This window comes from Homo sapiens, chromosome 4 (genome assembly GCF_000001405.40).
Source record: "Homo sapiens chromosome 4, GRCh38.p14 Primary Assembly".
Classification (NCBI taxonomy): Eukaryota; Metazoa; Chordata; class Mammalia; order Primates; family Hominidae; genus Homo; species Homo sapiens.
The window spans coordinates 186,234,180-186,253,760 of record NC_000004.12 but is presented as its reverse complement, the minus strand read 5'-3'; the positions used below and the strand labels follow the sequence as shown (position 1 = coordinate 186,253,760).

General features: G+C 41.3%; 1 protein-coding gene and 1 long non-coding RNA gene across 10 annotated transcripts in view, besides 4 other annotated features; both read right to left on the bottom strand.

Annotated features, from left to right (window-relative positions):
• Positions 1-19,581, bottom strand: part of KLKB1 (kallikrein B1) — a 47,619-nt gene that overhangs the window by 4,711 nt on the left and 23,327 nt on the right. For 4 of the 9 annotated variants that reach the window (XM_047415661.1, NM_000892.5, NM_001440521.1 and 1 more), the window contains 7 exons: positions 16,821-16,980; positions 15,396-15,505; positions 3,359-3,518; positions 2,433-2,542; positions 2,112-2,274; positions 1,900-2,012; positions 1,576-1,744 (listed from right to left, as the gene is read on the bottom strand). In XM_047415661.1, coding sequence (XP_047271617.1) covers positions 1,576-1,744; positions 1,900-2,012; positions 2,112-2,274; positions 2,433-2,542; positions 3,359-3,518; positions 15,396-15,505; positions 16,821-16,980 — 985 coding nt within the window. Of the gene's footprint in view, positions 1-1,575; positions 1,745-1,899; positions 2,013-2,111; positions 2,275-2,432; positions 2,543-3,327; positions 3,519-15,362; positions 15,506-16,820; positions 16,981-19,581 lie in introns of those variants that run through there. The other 5 variants (XM_017008181.2, XM_011531930.3, XM_017008182.2 and 2 more) reach the window with 3 other exon arrangements.
• Positions 3,207-3,951: an enhancer, noted in NCBI's record as "OCT4-NANOG-H3K27ac hESC enhancer chr4:187170964-187171708 (GRCh37/hg19 assembly coordinates)". NCBI's record gives its function as "activates a minimal SCP1, AML or CMV promoter by ChIP-STARR-seq in naive H9 embryonic stem cells {active_cell/tissue: H9 hESC(naive)}" and the evidence as "EXISTENCE:reporter gene assay evidence [ECO:0000049][PMID:30033119]".
• Positions 9,406-9,933: an enhancer, noted in NCBI's record as "H3K27ac hESC enhancer chr4:187164982-187165509 (GRCh37/hg19 assembly coordinates)". NCBI's record gives its function as "activates a minimal SCP1, AML or CMV promoter by ChIP-STARR-seq in naive H9 embryonic stem cells {active_cell/tissue: H9 hESC(naive)}" and the evidence as "EXISTENCE:reporter gene assay evidence [ECO:0000049][PMID:30033119]".
• Positions 9,934-10,462: an enhancer, noted in NCBI's record as "NANOG-H3K27ac hESC enhancer chr4:187164453-187164981 (GRCh37/hg19 assembly coordinates)". NCBI's record gives its function as "activates a minimal SCP1, AML or CMV promoter by ChIP-STARR-seq in naive H9 embryonic stem cells {active_cell/tissue: H9 hESC(naive)}" and the evidence as "EXISTENCE:reporter gene assay evidence [ECO:0000049][PMID:30033119]".
• Positions 12,051-12,656: an enhancer, noted in NCBI's record as "NANOG-H3K27ac hESC enhancer chr4:187162259-187162864 (GRCh37/hg19 assembly coordinates)". NCBI's record gives its function as "activates a minimal SCP1, AML or CMV promoter by ChIP-STARR-seq in naive H9 embryonic stem cells {active_cell/tissue: H9 hESC(naive)}" and the evidence as "EXISTENCE:reporter gene assay evidence [ECO:0000049][PMID:30033119]".
• Positions 13,267-15,356, bottom strand: LOC124900873 (uncharacterized). The gene is made up of 2 exons (XR_007058497.1): positions 14,716-15,356; positions 13,267-14,596 (listed from the first exon to the last, which is right to left on the bottom strand). It is a non-coding gene; the product is annotated as an uncharacterized LOC124900873 (long non-coding RNA).

Sequence of the window (19,581 nt, the reverse complement as noted above, 5' to 3'; positions counted from 1 at the left end):
TATACTAAGTACATCCAAAATTCTGATCTAAAGCAAAGCCTTATTCTGTGCAAAGATCTGGAAATCTTTATCATCACCAAGTAGTGCAAGGCATGTGTGCACAAAATTCTAGAAAAATGATGGAGATATCAGGTGCAAAGGGGCCTTTTTTTATTTGCAATGAAATCATTACACTTTTATGTCTATTATCTCTTATAAACTCACAATACTGAGCCTTCAAGAATGAAAATTTTTGGTCCCAAATTGGAGTGCATTTAGTAAAAAAGACACCTACTATTTCCCATCTTGGGACTTTTCTTCCAGGCCAACCACCTTAAAGTCACATGCAAGGTCATGTATGGCAGAGCCCCTTCACACGATGACAAGGTGGAGGGGTCTTGCTCCACCCACATGTACCACCGACTGCTATATTTTGGTGGCAGTATGTTCAATCCTAGTATACAGCATGTAAGCATGAATTTCACTAAAACAAAAATACTTGGTGTGTTTATTTTTGAGAAAAATCAAGTGTCTTCTAGTATTTCTTTTGCTTTTTATATGCTTTGTCCATTTCTACATTTCTTATTGAATATAGAAATCACAGTTTACATTTTTTGAAGTGTTTATGTTCTACACACAGTACTAAGCATTTTAAATGTGTCACTTAATCTTCCCAACAACGTTACAAATTCGGGACTATTACTATTCATATTTTAGATCAAATAAAGCTCAGAGGGATTTACAAATCTTCTAGGGCCACACCTCTAATAAGCAGCAAAGCTGTCACTTAAGCCATGTTCTGTCTAACTCCAAAGCCTCAGTATTTTAAGACTTACCTAACATGTCTACTATTTGACCAATAAATTGAAATAGATCAAATTATATACATTGAAATATACAGAGTACGAAACTCTCACTTTTAAAAATTATTATGACTTAGTATATTTATGAATCAAAGAGCAAGAAGTAACATTTCTATGGGCCTGACAAATAAGTCTTTGAAGAACACATCAGGGATTGGTGGTGGGATTGGTGGTGGGATTGGTGGTTGGTGGCGGGATCGGTGGTGGGATTGGTCGTGGGTGGCGGGATTGGTGGTGGGGTAGGTGGTGGGATTGGTGGTGGGATTGGTGGCGGGATCGGTGGTGGGATTGGTCGTGGGTGGCGGGATTGGTGGTGGGGTAGGTGGTGGGATTGGTGGTGGGATTGGTGGTGGGATTGGTGCTGAGATTGATGGTGGGTGGTAGGATTGGTGGTGGGATTGGTGGTGAGATTGGTGGTGGGTGGCAGGATTGGTGGTGGAATTGGTGGTGGGATTGGTGGTGGGTGGTGGGTTGGAGGAGTGGGGTACTGTCTTCGTTTCTCTTTCTGTGGAGAATACCCACTCAGCGCCATCTGCCCTGTACAGAGACCACACTCTGTTCTAATGGTCAGGTTGGTCAGTGCTTGGACCCTATAAGTTAAATGTTGTGAATACCATCCCCGCTTTAACACGTCTCTATTCATAAAGTCACATGGCGGTGAAGCAGCTGATCATAGATCCTTCAAAATGAAAAGCCAAGATAAGACTCTGGATGAGATGCATCCAACACTTACCCATCAAAGCAGTGGGCAGCAGTGAGGACCCACTGGTGTCCTATGAGTGACCCTCCACACAGGTGCCTCTGAGCTGTCAGCTTCACCTGCAGGCTCACCTGCCAGGGCCACTCTCCCCAAGAAGAGTTTGTTCCTCCAACAATGCGTGTGCTTGTTTTTGTTGTGCAGACTGAAAAGAGAGCGTTGACGCTAATGGTTGGAATTAGAAGTGAATCAAAGTCCCTTCTAACCAAGGAGAACAAGACACATAATTCCTTAAGACTAAGCAAACTATCAACATGACAGACATCCCTGACAGGTCCACGAAAAAGTGAGGTTACTCACCAGAGTTGTCCCCAGTGTTACACAATCTCAAAGAGTAACCAGAGCTCCCTTGTGTCCCATACGCAATCCTAGTTGGAGAACCATCCATAGATAATCTTAAGAAACACTTACACCTAGATGAAATGAACAGTAGAAAGAGTAAGCCTTCACAGGGGGAAAGAGAATATGAAATGGTCATGTCAACTGTCTTTGAAAAATAAAATTTCCTTTACTTCTCTTCCTTACAGTCTTCTGGGAGTAAAGAATAAGTGAAAAACTGACAGCGAATCATCTTTGTGCAAGTCTCTTGGCAAACATTCACTCCTTTAACAAAAGTCACATTCAATTCTTCTCCTCCAAAGTCAACTCCCGGGTAAATTTTAGAATGGCAGGGTTCTGTGTCAATTATAAACACAAAAAGATATCAGATGGGAAAAGCAATGAACGACATTTACACAAGTTTCTGTTACCTTGAGGATTGTTTCATCACTGTTGCTGTTAAAAGTCATGAAATAGGTTACATTTTATGTAATATTATTATCAAATCACATTACCAGGTAAAGTTCTTTTGCAGGTTAAAAGGCTATATCCAGATATGGTGTTTTCTTGAGGAGTAGAGGAACTTGGTGTGCCACTTTCAGATGTTTTAAGAAGACAAACATTTCTATTTTTTTTAAAAAAAAGCAAGAGAGAAAGAAAGAAATTTGCATTAAAGGCATTAGGCAAATACAAAAGCAGCTCACACCCAAAAAGCAACGCAGCAAATTTTATTCTTCTGGGAAACTCTCTTCAAAGTAAATCCAACTACAGGACTCTAATAAATTGCAGAGATTAAATGTAAATCAAGCCACCTCTCCCTCTGGAGAAAACTAATAGGCACAGACAACCTGAAAAGAGGACAATGATGAAGTTCCACCTTCTAACTGGAAAAACAAACAAAAAAATCAAAGAACAAATTCTGGGAATTTATGCTGCCGATGATATTACATAACTAGACACCCTTCTCTTAGCTCCATGCTGTGTGCAGAAGAGGGTGGGTTATCTGAGATAAAGACAGTGGGCCAGAGCCTTGATCAGAATAAACAGGGCTCTAGTTTCTGAAACAAAGAGAAGAGGCAACAAGCTTAAGGGCTATATTGCCAGCAAGTGGATTTTACTCCAAGCTAATACAAAACATGAAGATCATGTTTTGAATCTTCATTCAAAGGCGTCAGATCCTTCTTTTTTCTCATGGCTATTGCTTCCTTGATTCAATGGTAACATTTGTTTTAAAGTAAGAGAAGATAGGCAGAGAAGTCTGCTAATCTCTTAACTAATCTGCACCTGGCAGAACAGTACCTACTGAAACTGCAGGTTCAAGTGTTTTGAGGGAAATGAACGAAACTTTTAAGAACTCAGACTATAAAAGTGATGAAAGTACAGCAGCAAGTGCTCCCCATGCATACTCGCCTTTGTGATGCGATTTTCCATGCATACTCGCCTTTGTGACTCGATTTTCCATACATTTGTATAGAATGTAAAGAAGAGGCAGTTGGGGTGATAGGTGCAGATGGTCCGACACACAAAAGCATCTGGAGTGAGAACCCTGGCAACATCCACATCTGAGAACGCAAGATGCTGGAAGATGTTCATGTGGCAACCTGTGAACTCACAGAGAGAAGATGTTCCTTAGGAAATGACATGAGGCTAAATTTGCTTGTATTTTGTCACCATAGTTAAGGAAATTGTGACTATTTATTATTCATAGTACTAAACATCCTAAGTGAAAAAATGTCCTTTAAAGTATCTCCAAACTGTTTGCCATTTAGAGGAAGGCAAAATTGGTCTAACTCTAAGGGGCAAATTCCTATTTCAGAGAAATAAAAGCTGTGCTCCCAGCTCCAGTCACCACCATTGCCAAATGCTTGCATTACTCAGCATGTGTTTACATTTCCTTTATATTACTCTGACTCTGAGGCCTTAGGAATGTAAGGGTTTTTTTGTTGTATTTTCCTGAATATTATAAAAAATTCTTTAATAAGAAGTGATTAACAAAAATGCCTTGTGCCTATTAAAATTAGAACAGGAGACAATCCACTTTTATTATCATTACATTAATATGATCTTATATCTTAGTTTTGTTTTAGTTGTGTACATATCGTTTATGTAGTTTACTAAATTTGATAACACATAATTCCATTGATACTCATTGGTCTACAGATTCAATGCACTCTCTATCAAAATCCTGCTGCTTTTCTATTGCAGAAATTGACAACCATCCTAAAATTCATATGGAAATGCAAAAGATCCGGAATAACCAAATTAATCTTGAAAAAGGACAAAATAAAAGCACTCAGACTGTCTGAGTTCAAAACTTACTGCAAAGTTATGGTAATCAAGACTGTGTGTAACTGGCATTAGGATAGGCATATATAGGTCAACAGGATAGAACTGATGGTCCAAAAATAAACTCTTACATTTATAGACAATTGATTTTGAAAAGGGTTTCAAGACAATGGAATAACTGAATACCCACATGCAAGAATTAAGTTGGATTGCTACTTTACACCATATACAAAATTTAATTTAAAATGCATCAAATGCCTAAATGTAAGAGCTAAAACTATAAACCTCTAAGAACAAATCATAAGCAAAAATCTTCAAAACCATGAATTAGGTTTTGGCGTTTTAGGTAAAGCACGTGCAAGAATAAAGCCAGACTGGATTTCATCAAGTTTAAAAACTTTGGTGCTTCAAAGAACACCATCAGTAAAGTGAAAAGATGACCTGCAGATGCACAGAAAATTTTTGAAAATAATATATGTCATAAGAGTGTAGTATCCAGAGTATATAAAGAGTTCATACAACTCAACAATGAAAATAACCCAATTATTTTTAATGGCCAAAAGATTTAAACAGAGATTTTCCCAAAGAATGTATTCAAATTGAAAATGAGCACACGAAAAGATACACAACATTGTTAGTCATTAGGGAAATGCATATCAAAACCACAGTGAGACACCACTTCACACTGCCTAGAAAGGCAATAATTACAAAGACAATAACAAGTGTTGTTAAGGTTGTAGAGAGACTGAAGCCCTCAATTGTTGCTGGTAAGAATGTAACATTGTGTAGCTGCTCTCAAAAACAGTTTGGCAATTCATCAAAAAGTTAAACATGGAGTTACTCTGTGATCCAGCAATTTTAATCCTAAGTATATACATAAGAGAATTTAAAATGCATGCCTACCCAAAAACTGTTGTCCATAGCAGCATTATTCATAAGAGGCAAAAAAAAAAAAAAAAAAATCCAGAAACAACTCAAATGTTCATCAAACTAAGTATATAAACAAAATATGTTTTATTCATACAATAGAATCTTATTTAGTCCTAAATAGGAACAAAGTATTGATATATGCTAGAATACGAATGAGCCTTGAAAACACGCCAGGTGAAAAAAGCCAGATGCAAAATGTGCTGCATTGCATGATTCCATTTATGTAAAATGTCCCGAAGAGTCAAGTCCACAGACATGGAAAGTAGATTTAGTGGTTGCCAGGGGATTGGAGGAGTAGGGAATGGAGAAAGACGGCCAATGGGAAAGGAGAAAGACAGCCTTTCTTTTTTTTTTTTATTTTATTTTTATTATTTTTTTGTGAGATGGAGTCTTGCTCTGTCGCCCAGGCTGGAGTGCAGTGGCGCAATCTTGGCTCACTGCAAGCTCCGCTTCCTGGGTTCAGGCCATTCTCCTGCCTCAGCCTCCTGAGTAGCTGGGACTACAGGCATCTGCCATCATGCCCAGCTAATTTTTTTGTATCTTTAGTACAGATAGGGCTTCACCGTGTTACCCAGGATGGTTTCAATCTCCTGACCCCGTGATCCGCCCGCCTCGGCCTCCCAAAGTGCTGGGATTACAGGCGTGAGCCACCGTGCCCGGCCTGGATACAGCCTTTCTTTTGTGGTGATAAAAATGTTCTGGAACTAGACAGTGGTGATCGTTGTGCAATCAGGTGGATATACTAAAAACCACGGAGTTGTACACTTTCAAAGGGTTAATTTTATGTTATCTAAATTAGATATCAAAAATTTTAAATCTACTATGAAAAAACAATATATGCCATATTAAATACCAAGCTTGTAGAAGGGATTCATGTAAAACAGACACATTATTTATATACATAAGAATTAAATTTTCTTGGTATTTTCAGCAGTTTCATAGTGATTCTCAAACATCCTTCAAGTCTTATAAAGTGCGATTAAGCCCCATCTTTTCCAAAGTGTATGTATGATTCTAAGAACTTTACATTTATCCATGTTAAATGTCAGGCCTCTGGGCCCAAGCCTACATGCATACATCCAGATGGCCTGAAGTAACTGAAGAATGACAAAAGAAGTGAAAATGGCCGGTTCCTGCCTTAACTGATGACGTTACCTTGTGAAATTCCTTCTCCTGGCTCAGAAGCTCCCCCACTGAGCACCTTGTGACCCCCCACCCCTGCCCGCCAGAGAACAACCCCCTTTGACTGTAATTTTCCACTACCTACCCAAATCCTATAAAACGTCCCCACCCCTATCTCCCTTCACTGACTCTCTTTTTGGACTCAGCCCGCCTGCACCCAGGTGATTAAAAAGCTTTCTTGCTCACACAAAGCCTGTTTGGTGGTCTCTTCGCATGGACACACGTGATATTTGGTGCTGTGACTCAGATCAGGGGACCTCCCTTGGGAAATCAATCCCCTGTCCCCCTGCTCTTTGCTCCATGAGAAAGATCCACCCATGACCTCTGGTCCTCAGACCAACAAGCCCAAGGAACATCTCACCGATTTTAAATTGGGTAAGCAGCCTCTTTTTACTCTCTTATCCAACCTCTCTCCCTATCCCTCAACCTCTTTTTCCTTTCAATCTTGGCGCCATCCTTCAATCTCTCCCTTCTCTTAATTTCAATTCCTTTCATTTTCTGGTAGAGACAGAGGAGACGCGTTTTATCCATGAACCCAAAACTCTGGCACTGGTCATGGACTTGGGAAGATAGTCTTTCCTTGCTGTTTAATCACTGCAGGGACACCTGCTTGATTATTCACCCACGTTTCAGAGGTATCTGATCACCGCGCGAATGCCTGCCTTGATCCTTCACCCTTAGTGGCAAGAACCACTTTCCTGGGGGCAAGCACCCCCCCACCCCTTCTCTCCATGTCTCTACCCTCTCTTTTCTCTGGGCTTGCCTCCTTCACTATAGGCAACTTTCCACCCTCCATTCCTCCTTCTTCTCCCTTAGCCTATGTTCTCAAGAACTTAAAACCTCTTCAACTCACACCTGACCTAAAACCTAAATGCCTTATTTTCTTCTGCAATGCTGCTTAACCCCAATACAAACTCGACAATGGTTCCAAATAGCCAGAAAACGGCACTTTCGATTTTTCCATCCTACAAGATCTAGATAATTCTTGTCATAAAATGGGCAAACGGTCTGAGGTGCCTGACGTCCAGGCATTCTTTTACACATTGGTCCCTCCCTAGTCTCTGTTCCCAATGCAACTTGTCCCAAATCTTCCTTCTTTCCCTCCCATCTGTCCCCTCAATCCCAACCCATCTGTCCTCTCAATCCCAACCCCAAGTGTTGCTGAGTCTTTCCAATCCTCCTTTTCTATGGACCCATCTGACCTCTCCCCTCCTCCCCAGGCTGCTCCTTGCCAGGCCAAGCCAGATCCCAATTCTTCCTCAGCCTCTGCTCCTCCACCCTATAATCCTTCTATCACCTCCCCTCCTCACACCCGGTCCAGCTTACAGTTTCATTCCACGACTAGCCCTCCCCCACCTGCCCAACAATTTCCTCTTAAAGAGGTGGTTGGAGCTAAAGGCATAGTCAAGATTAATGTTCCTTTTTATTTATCCGACCTCTCCCAAATCAGTTAGCGTTTAGGCTCTTTTTCATCAAATATGAAAAACCCAGCCCAGTTCATGGCCCGTTTGGCAGCAACCCTGAGACGCTTTACAGCCCTAGACCCAGAAGGGTCAGAAGGCCTCTTATTCTCAATATGCATTTTATCACCCAGTCAGCTCCTGACATTAAAAAAAAAAAACCAAAAAACAAACAAAAAAAAACTCCAAAAATTAGATTCCAGCCCTCAAACCCCACAAGAGGACTTAATTAACCTCGCCTTCAAGATGTACAATAATAGAGGCAGCCAAGTAGCAATGTATTTCTGAGTTGCGATTCCTTGCCTCTGCTGTGAGACAAAACCCAGCCACATCTCCAGCACACACAAAAACTTCAAAATGCCTAAACTGCAGTGGTCAAGCATTCCTACAGGACCTCCTCCATCAGGATCTTGTTTCAAGTGCCAGAAATCTGGCCAATGGGCCAAGGAATGCCCGCAGCCTGGGATTCCTCCTAAGCTGTGTCTCATCTGTGTGGGACCCCACTAGAAATCGGACTGTCTAACTGGCCTGGCTGCCACTCCCAGAGCCCCTGGAACTCTGGCCCAAGGCTCTCTGACTGACTGCTTCCCAGATCTTCTTGGCTTAGCGGCTGAAGACTGACGCTGCCCGATCACCTTAGAAGCCTCCTGGACCATCACAGATGCTTTAGGTAACTCTTACAGTGGAGGGTAAATCCATCCCCTTCTTAATTAATACAGAGGCTACCCACTCCACATTACGTTCTTTTCAAGGGCCTGTTTCCCTTGCCTCCATAACTGTTGTAGGTATTGACCGCCAGGCTTCTAAACCTCTTAAAACTCCCCAACTCTGGTGCCAACTTGGACAACATTCTTTTATGCACTCCTTTTTAGTTATCACCACCTGCCCAGCTCCCTTACTAGGTCGAGGCATTTTAACTCAATTATCCGCTTCCCTGACTGTTCTTAGGCCACAGCCACACCTCAATGCCACCCTTTCCCCAGTTCAAAGCCTCCTTCACATCCTCCCCTTGTGTGTCCCCACCTTAATCCACAAGTATAGGACACCTCTGCTCCCTCCTTGGCAACCTATCGTGCACCCCTTACCATCCCATTAAAACCTAATCACACTTACCCCGCTCAATGCCAATATCCCATCCCACAGCATGCTTTAAAAGGATTAAAGCCTGTTATCACTCACCTGTTACAGCGTGGCCTTTTGAAGCCTATAAACTCTCCTTACAATTCCCCCATTTTACCTGTCCAAAAACCGGACAAGCCTTACAGGTTAGTTCAGGATCTGTGCCTCATTAACCAAATTGTCTTGCCTATTCACCCCATGGTACCAAAGCCATATACTCTCCTATCCTCAATACCTCCCTCCACAACCCATTATTCTGTTCTGGATCTCAAACATGCTTTCTTTACTATTCCTTTGCACCCTTCATCCCAGCCTCTCTTCGCTTTCACTTGGACTGACCCTGACACCCGTCAGCCTCAGCAACTTACTTGGGCTGTACTGCCACAAGGCTTCGAGGACAGCCCCCATTACTTCAGTCAAGCCCAAATTTCTTCCTCATCCATTACCTATCTCGGCATAATTCTTCATGAAAACACATGTGCTCTCCCTGCTGATTGTGTCTGGCTCATCTCCCAAACCCCAACCCCTTCTACAAAACAACTCCTTTTCTTCCTAGGTATGGTTAAGTACTTCCGCCTTTGGATACTAAGTTTTACCATCCTGACTAAACCATTATATAAACTCACAAAAGCAAAGCTAGCTGACCCCAAAGATCCTAAATCCTTTAGCCACTCCTCTTGCCATTCCTTAAAAACAGCCCTAGAAACTGCTCCCACACTAGCTCTCCCTAACTCATCCCAACCCTTTTCATTACACACAGCCGAAGTGCAGGGCTGCGCAGTCAAAATTCTTACACAAGAGCCAGGACCACGCCCTGTAGCCTTTCTGTTCAAACAACTTGACCTTACTGTTTTAGGCTGGCCCCCACCCCCATGACTGTATCTCTCTGATCCACCTGACATCCACTCCATTTCCCCATATTTCCTTCTTTCCTGTTCCTTACCCTGATCACACTTGGTTTATTGATGGCAGTTCCACCAGGCCTAATCACCACTCACCAGCAAAGGCAGGCTATGCTGTAGTATCTTCCACATCTATCACTGAGGCTACTGCTCTGCCCCGCTCCACTACCTCTCAGCAAGCTGAACTCATTGCCTTAACTCAGGCCCTCACTCTTGCAAAGGGACTACGTGTCAATATTTATACTGACTCTAAATATGCCTTCCATATTCTGCACCACCATGCGGTTATATGGGCTGAAGGAGGTTTCCTCACTACACAAGGGTTCTCCATCTTAATGCCTCTTTAATAAAAACTCCTCTCAAGGCCACTTTACTTCCAAAGGAAGCTGAAGCCATTCACTGCAAGGGCCACCAAAAGGCATCAGATCCCACTGCTCAGGACAATGCCTATGCTGATAAGGTAGCTAAAAAAGCAGCGAGCATTCCAACTTCTATCCCTCACAGCCAGTTTTTTTCTTCCTCATCTGTCACTCCCATCTACTCCCCCATTGAAACTTCCACCTATCAATCTCTTCCCACACAAGGCAAATAATTCTTGGACCAAGGAAAATATCTCCTCCAGCCTCACAGGCCCATTCTATTCTGTCATCATTTCATAAACTCTTCCATGTAAGTTACAAGCCACTAACCCACCTCTTAAAACCTCACTTTTCCTTTCCGTCGTAAAAATCTATCCTCAAAAAATAACTGCTCAGTGTTCCATCTGCTACTCCACTCCTCCTCAGGGATTGCTCAGGCCCCCTCCCTTCCCTACACATCAAGCTCGGGGATTTGCCCCCGCCCAGGACTGGCAGATTGACTTTACTCACATACCCGGAGTCAGGAAACTAAAATACCTCTTGGTCTGGGTAGACACTTTCACTGGATGGGTAGAGGCCTTTCCCACAGGGTCTGAGAAGGCCACCGTGGTCATTTCTTCCCTTCTGTCAGACATAATTCCTCAGTTTGGCCTTTCCATCTCTATACAATCCGATAACAGACCGGCCTTTATTAGTCAAATCACCCAAGCAGTTTCTCAGGCTCTTGGTATTCAGTAAAACCTTCATACCCCTCACCATCCTCAATCTTCAGGAAAGGTAGAACAGACTAATGGTCTTTTAAAAACACACCTCACCAAGCTCAGCCTCCAACTTAAAAAGGAGGACTCTGTCAAGGATAGAGCCCAAAAACTCACCAACCAAGCAAGTAATTACACTGAACCCCCTTAGGCACTCTCTAATTAGATGTCCTGGGTCCTCCCAATTCTTAGTCCTTTAACACCTGTTTTTCTCCTTCTCTTATTCAGACCTTGTGTCTTCCATTTAGTTTCTCATTTCACACAAAACCATATCCAGGCCATCACCAATCATTCTATATGACAAATGCTGCTTCTAACAACCCCACAATATCACCCCTTACCATAAAATATTCCTTCAGCTTCATCTCTCCCACTGTAGGTTCCCACGCCGCCCCTAATCCCGCTCGAAGCAGCCCTGAGAAACATCGCCCATTATCTCTCCATACCACCCCCAAAAACTTTCGCCACCCCAACACTTTACCACTATTTCGTTTTCTTTTTCTTATTAATATAAGAAGACAGGAATGTCAGGCCTCTGGGCCCAGGCCTGCACGTATACATCTAGATGACCTGAAGTAACTGAAGAAAGACAAAAGAAGTGAAAATGGCCGGTTCCTGCCTTAACTGATGACGTTACCTTGTGAAATTCCTTCTCCTGGCTCAGAAGCTCCCCCACTGAGCACCTTGTGACCCCCCACCGCTGCCCGCCAGAGAACAACCCCCTTTGACTGTAATTTTCCACTACCTACCCAAATCCTATAAAACGTCCCCACCCCATCTCCCTTCACTGACTCTCTTTTCGGACTCAGCCTGCCTGCACCCAGGTGATTAAAAAGCTTTCTTGCTCACACAAAGCCTGTTTAGTGGTCTCTTCACACGGACGCACATGACATTAAATATATGCAATACTTCAGCCCAATGTCCTAACCTGTTAAAATTGTTTTTACTTTGCTTTTCCTATCTAATATGTTGGGCACTATTTATAGATATTTTGGCCAAGCAACCAGTTGATTTCTAGGACATTCTCTATTTCAAGTATGCCATCTGGTTAGCCTCCGAACAGAAACCATGATGTTGCTTCCCCTAATTGCAATTTTATCAACCAGCTTCGTTTATCAGACTTTCTTCCCCAGAGGTGATAAAAATAAAAAAACCTTTTTTTTCCAATTTATGTTTTCCTCCTTTTGGCTTGAAAATATGTGTACCATCTCAATTGATAAATTAATAAGTCACATGGTAGGAATTTTCCATGTCAGAGTTGCAAATGGTTTTGTTAAATTAACTGAGGAAACGTGGTTAGCCTGACATCTCTCAAGATCTATGCAGGAAGATGGACCACAAGAGAAGGAAATCTGTAAATATAATGAATTCATATGTGTTGAGAGGCAGGAGGCTTTAAAACACCATTAAATCCATTAAAAAAACAAAAGGTGGAGTGAGCACTGTGAAATGTGTGTGACCCAAGGGTCGAGTTCTGGTTCAGCTCATCAGCTGTGTTGCCCCCGGAGCACCTTCACTTCTACCCTCCTTCCAGGAGCCTTAGGGGTTTTGTTTGTAAAATTAGGAAAATCCTTGGTGAAACCAAGGACAAATCTGTAGTGATAACTACAGATCATCCCTAACTTATGAATCTCATTTGGGCAGTTAGGCCAGGAGACAGCCCTACTCTAGGTTTAGGAGGCATGTGGCTACTGGGTGTTCCCTGAGGAACGGGGACCACGTACTCAGTGAAAAGCCACGCCCTTAGCAGCTCAAAACACCACCTGAAACAGCCATATTTTTATCAGTCTGTAAAGGCCATTTGATCCGATTAAATCACATGTGAACTCACTGCAATTTAACAAGAAAGCAAGTACACAGATGAGCCATCCAGGGTGCTCTCCCAGGTGTGGACAGCAGCTGTGACAGCCCAGAGCCACAGCACGAGCTTGCCTGTTCCCTGGGTAAGTGCAGCAAATCCTTCCAGCAACAGGGCTGGGTACAGAATGGAGCATGTTTGCATCGAGTCCTGCCTCCTGGCAGCCTTCAAAAACTCTCCCAGAAAAAAATAATATGAACGTTAAAATTAAATCACCAGTACACGTGAACCTGGCACACACCATGGAGAAGGTGTGCTGTCGCAAAGAGGAGACAGGAAAATAGCCACCTTGTAACCAACCTTCCCAATCTTCCACAGGGAAATCCTAGCCCAGCACCCAATACAGGGCCAGGCACAGAGCCAGCACCCAGTACTGCGGAAAACTGGCCGTAAGGGATTTGCTTTTAGTAACATCTTGTCATTAACATCCTGACATGCTAAATGAGGTGGAATGTCATGGCAATTTTCTGGATAATTCCATTGAAATTACCTTTATGTGTGAAACGACAGAGTTTTATTTCCCTACCCCTGGTAGAGTCATTTCACTAGATAGGGACACAACCAAGGAATGACCTTACAGTTTTGCTACAACATCACTGTACCTATAACTATAACAATATCACTGTCCTATAACTATTACAACGTCACTGTACCTATAACTGTAACAATATCACTGTCCTATAACTATATCACTGTCCTATAACTATAACAATATCACTGTACCTATATCACTGTAACTACATCACTGTCCTATAACTATAACAATATCACTGTCCTATAACTATAACAATATCACTGTACCTTTAACTATAACTATACCACGGTAACTATAAGAATATCACTGTCCTATAACTATAACAGTATCACTGTCCTATATCACTGTACCTATAACTCTAACAGTATCACTGTACTAGTTTCCTATAACTATAACAATATCACTGTCCTACAACTATAACAGTATCACTGTACTAGTTTCCTATAACTATAACAATATCACTGTCCTATATCACTGTACCTATAACTCTAACAGTATCACTGTACTAGTTTCCTATAACTATAACAATATCACTGTACCTATAACTATAACAGTATCACCGTACTAGTTTCCTATAACTATAACAATATCACTGTCCTATATCACTGTCCTATAACTATAACAGTATCACTGTACTAGTTTCCTATAACTATAACAATATCACTGTCCTATATCACTGTACCTATAACTCTAACAGTATCACTGTACTAGTTTCCTATAACTATAACAATATCACTGTCCTATAACTATAACAGTATCACTGTACTAGTTTCCTATAACTATAACAGTATCACTGTCCTATATCACTGTACCTATAACTCTAACAGTATCACTGTACTAGTTTCCTATAACTATAACAGTATCACTGTCCTATGTCACTGTACCTATAACTCTAACAGTATCACTGTACTAGTTTCCTATAACAGTATCACTGTCCTATATCACTGTACCTATAACAGTATCACTGTACTAGTTTCCTATAACTATAACAATATCACTGTACCTATAACTCTAACAGTATCACTGTACTAGTTTCCTATAACTATAACAATATCACTGTCCTATATCACTGTACCTATAACTCTAACAGTATCACTGTACTAGTTTCCTATAACTATAACAATATCACTGTCCTATATCACTGTCCTATAACTATAACAGTATCACTGTACTAGTTTTCTATAACTATAACAGTATCACTGTCCTATATCACTCTACCTATAACTCTAACAGTATCACTGTACTAGTTTCCTATAACTATAACAGTATCACTGTCCTATGTCACTGTACCTATAACTCTAACAGTATCACTGTACTAGTTTCCTATAACAGTATCACTGTCCTATATCACTGTACCTGTAACAGTATCACTGTACTAGTTTCCTATAACTATAACAATATCACTGTACCTATAACTCTAACAGTATCACTGTACTAGTTTCCTATAACTATAACAATATCACTGTCCTATATCACTGTCCTATAACTCTAACAGTATCACTGTACTAGTTTCCTATAACTATAACAGTATCACTGTCCTATATCACTGTCCTATAACTCTAACAGTATCACTGTACTAGTTTCCTATAACTGCTGCTCTAGGGGCATAACCACAAACTTAGTGGTTAAAAACAACACAAATTAATTATCTTACTGTTCTAGAGATTGGGTCTTACTGGGCTAAAATCAAGACATCAGCAGGGCTTCTTCCTCCAGGACGCTCCACAGGGAAACTCTTTCCTCGCCCTTTTCAACTTCTAGAGGCCGCCTGCATTCCTTGGCTCACGGACCTTCATCTTCAAAGCCAGCAGTGTAATACCTTCAAACCTCTCTCTCTGGCTCTGAGCCTTCCGCCTCTCTCTTTTTCTTATGAGCCTTGTGAGCACTCAACCCTGTGAGTACATTGGGCCCATTCAGAAAATCCAGAGTAAACTCCCCATCTCGAAGCCCGTAACTGCATGCCATTGACAGAAACGCTTTTGCCAGCTATGGGAACACACGCACAGGTCCCAGGGCTCAGCACAGGGACGTCTCTGGGGGCTCCTATTCCACCTACCACAATCACAAAGTGAAGTAGTCCTACAATTACCAATTTCTGAAAGGGCACAGGGCTTCAGTGAGAATCCAGATTCCACGTTACTCAGCACCTTTATAGCGGTAGGTGTTCCTCCGGGACTGTACTTTAATAGGCAATTGTTCCTGAATGGGAAGAAAAGAGGTTACTTTGCTTTCTGCACTTTGAGGGGCAGGGAGCAGTGCAGGTAACAGTTAGTATTAAAATGCACAGTGGAAAAACAATGACCCTGATAATGAGTGGGTTAGGGGTCTGCATTATTAACCTAATGGACATCCTTCCCCTCGCAAAGGGGTAAAGGAAAAGTTAGGGTGAGAATGAGGCAGGAGACTCCGTGACACTAAACCCTCATTCTATAAGCAAGGCCTATGTGTGGGGCAAACGGAACTTCAGGAAAAATGACACCAAAATTCGCTTCAGGAAAGCGAAAAATGACACAGACTTCAGAAAATGACTTCAGAAAAAATGACACCAAAATTTTGCTTCAGGAAAAAATGACACCAAAATTGAGTAGAGCATGGAGCGATAGACAGTAGAGACTGGGAAGGTGACAGAGAGGTGGGAAGGGGGCGGGCGTTGAAAAATAGCTTAGTGGGTACAATGTACATGACTCCAGTGATGGATATACCAAAAGCCCAGACTTTACCACTGTAAAATACATCAAAGTAACAAAATTACACTTGTACCCCATACATCTATGCAAATAAAAATAAGATTTAAAAATAAGGAAAAAAATCACAAGTTAATATCAAATTGTGATTAGCTCTATGAATGAAATAAACAGAGCTGAGTGTGACTTAAAAGAGAATGCTCAGAAATGGGCTTTTGGAGGGGACGGTATTTGAGGAAAGACCTGCAAGAATCAGCTTTGGAGAAGTAGGGGAAGAGGATGTCAGGCTTTGAAGATGCGGTACAATTACATGCCAGGGGAAAAGAGTAGAGAAACAAATGAAATTAAATGAATTATTTAATTAAAAAATGAAGGGCGAGGCGCAGTGGCTCATGCCTGTAATCCCAGCGCTTTGGGAGGCTGAGGTGGGTGGATCACAAGATCAGGAGTTCGAGACCAGCCTGACCAACATAGTAAAACCCCGACTCTACTAAAAATACAAAAATTAGCCAGGCATGGTGGCGGACGCCTGTAATCCCAGCTACTCGGGAGGCTGAGGCAGGAGAATCGCTTGAACCCGGGAAGCGGAGGTTGTAGTGAGTCGAGATTACGCCACTGCACTCTAGCCTGGGCGACAGAGCGCGACTCCATCTCAATAAATAAATAAATAAATAAAAGATAAAAAAATAAAATAGAGTAAGTAAATGAGGAAAGTGGTTAGAATAAAAGCCCTGTTTGGTTTTTAGTTTGGGAACAAAAGAGGTTAAGAAGAATACAGTGAAATCCTGGAGGCACCAATACAAAGAACACACACCTTGAATTGTACTCACCGGTACTCTGCCTTGTGAAATGTTTGCGTGGCATATGAAAAAAACTGGCAGCGAATGTTACTGGTGCACCTTTTTTGGCATTCTTCAACACTGCTAACCTTAGACACATTAAAATTGACTCCTCTCATATCAACTCCTTTATAAATGTCTCGATGGCAAGCTGTACAAGAAAAATACATAGAGCAAATACAGTCCATTTTCTTTCTAGAGGTAGATTAGATACCCACTACCATTTGGGTTGGTAGTTTAGAATGATAATAGCCCAGTTTTGGCAACTGCTATATTAACTAAGGGATTTAAAATTTTTATTATGTACATAAATTATCGAACTCTGCTTGAAGTAAATACAATCCAATATTTTCCCTAAAGCACTAGCTTTGAAATTGGGTTACTTCACTTCTTAAACTGCAAGATGCATGCAGCAATACAGGTAAATTTCACGTTGAAATTATCAATGAGCAGTGGGAAATAAACAAGGCAATAATAATGAGGACACTGATAATGTGTGCTGAGGTTTGCATTATTAAAGAAACTGATGTGCCTTTGACCTTTCGCATTGAATGAAAGAGCTTCTCTATCTCCCAGTGTTATTTCTTTGCTTTCGACTTCTCCTGTCTGATGACAAATTGCATCCAGATCAATCATTACAAAATGTGGAGAGTTGTTGTTTACGCATGATGAAACCACTTCCATTCTTGCTTTAAAATAGTGTTAACTTCTATTTAAGCACCCTTTTCATTGAGATTTGTCTTACATGCAAAAGATACAGATAATTCTTTTCACAGACAGTGAAGCAAAATTAGGCTCTTTTTTTTTTTTTTTTTTTTGAGACGGAGTCTCGCTCTGTCGCCCAGGCTGGAGCGCAGTGGCGCGATCTCGACTCACTGCAAGCTCCGCCTCCCGGGTTCACGCCATTCTCCTGCCTCAGCCTCCCGAGTAGCTGGGACTACAGGCGCGCGCCACCACGCCCGGCTAATTTTTGTATTTTTAGTAGAGACGGGGTTTCACCGTGTCAGCCAGGATGGTCTCGATCTCCTGACCTCGTGATCCGCCCGTCTCGGCCTCCCAAAGTGCTGGGATTACAGGCGTGAGCCACCGCGCCCGGCCTCTTTTTTTTTTAAAGATTCAAATTTCTTGGTTAGACTTTTGGTTAAGGAAGTAATGTAACCAGAAGTATAAACTGTATACTTTTTTAAAGTTTTATTCCCCAAGATTATGTGGAATAAACCATAATCTACTACAGATACCTTTCCACTCCTAAGAAGTATGGTTGAAGTCATAAAACTAAATTTAAGGGTGGGAAAGACAGAAAATACACAAACTGTCAGGAAAACTATATGACAGTACGATGAGTTGGGCAGGGAGGTGGATTATTCACTGTGGTTCTTAAACACAGGAATTTGCAGACTGTGGAAACGAAGTCTCTTTCCTATTTTTCTGCATGTGAGAAAAGAACAGGCTAAGAGTTGGGATGCGACTCTTACAAATAAAAACTCTTTAAGTGTTCATACGGAAGCTCTAAATGCTTTTGACTAGAATTGTTCTTGAGTGTAGAGATTTTATGTACTTGGGAACAATTTTTCACTTTAAAAAACATTAAAAGCAAGCTAAGTGAGTAACAGTGAGTTTTAGAATACATGAACAATAACAGGAATATTGAGAAAGGCACAAATTACTTTTTCTTTAAATTTTGCTACAAGATACAACAATCAGAAATAGCACTTACTCGAATAATTTATACCAAATTGGATTAACATAAAAATTGATCTTTTAAAATAGGAAATGTACTCCACCTCACGTAGACTACACCTATTATACTGGCTAAGTCAGGCCCACATTTATAATGAAGGCATTGCCATCCTTTGATAACTGGTTAAAATGCAAACAGCAGGCTCAAAGTGTGTACGTATTGAAGAGGTGATATCAATGAGGGAGGAAAGGATGACAAATTTAAAAACATCTGAAATTTGAACCTACAAAATTAATTGTGCATAATGAAAATAAAATAGTAATGATATATAGTCATACATAGAATAACAGCAGTTATTTTAAGATTCTGACAACCCATCAGTTGAATCTTTTCAGCACTTTTCACTTTCTTATCAGTCCCAGTCATGTTTGAGAAATAGTTCATTTGTCTTAAATTTATTAGGATAGCATTGGAAACTGTTTCCCAAGACATCAGTAGCTTCAGATGTCAGAATCAAAGTTCTCTAGCATCCTAGTCCTCAAGTTTCCTTTAGGAAGTATTATTCTTAGCAAGATTTGCAGAACTCAGTTCTTCAATTTGGGCCTAGTGGTATATCACAGAGTTTCTTGATGTCAGCACTGTTGACGTTTTGGGCCAGAAAATTATTTGCTGTGGACGACTGCCCTGTGCCTTGTAGAATGTTGGTCAGCATTCAAACATTCTGGCCTCTACTTAGTAAATGCTAATAGCATCCTCCCTAGTTGTAGCCACCAAAAATGTCTCCAGACATTGTCAAATGTCCCCAGTGGAAGAGACAAAATCACTGCTGGTTGAGAATCACTGATGTAAAAATTACCCTCAAGTGAACTTGAGAGAGATGTTCCCTTGTGTTTTCTTAAAAATTCTTATCTGGAAACGAGACACAATTATTTGGATTCATTTTCTGCAAATCTTACACTTGAGCGCTAACCTCATAAATAATAGAGGCTCATTAAGTATGTGTTGATTTATAAAGACAATAGAAGTGTCCAGATGAATATGGGTCCCTCTTTTGTGTCCAGAATACTGCCC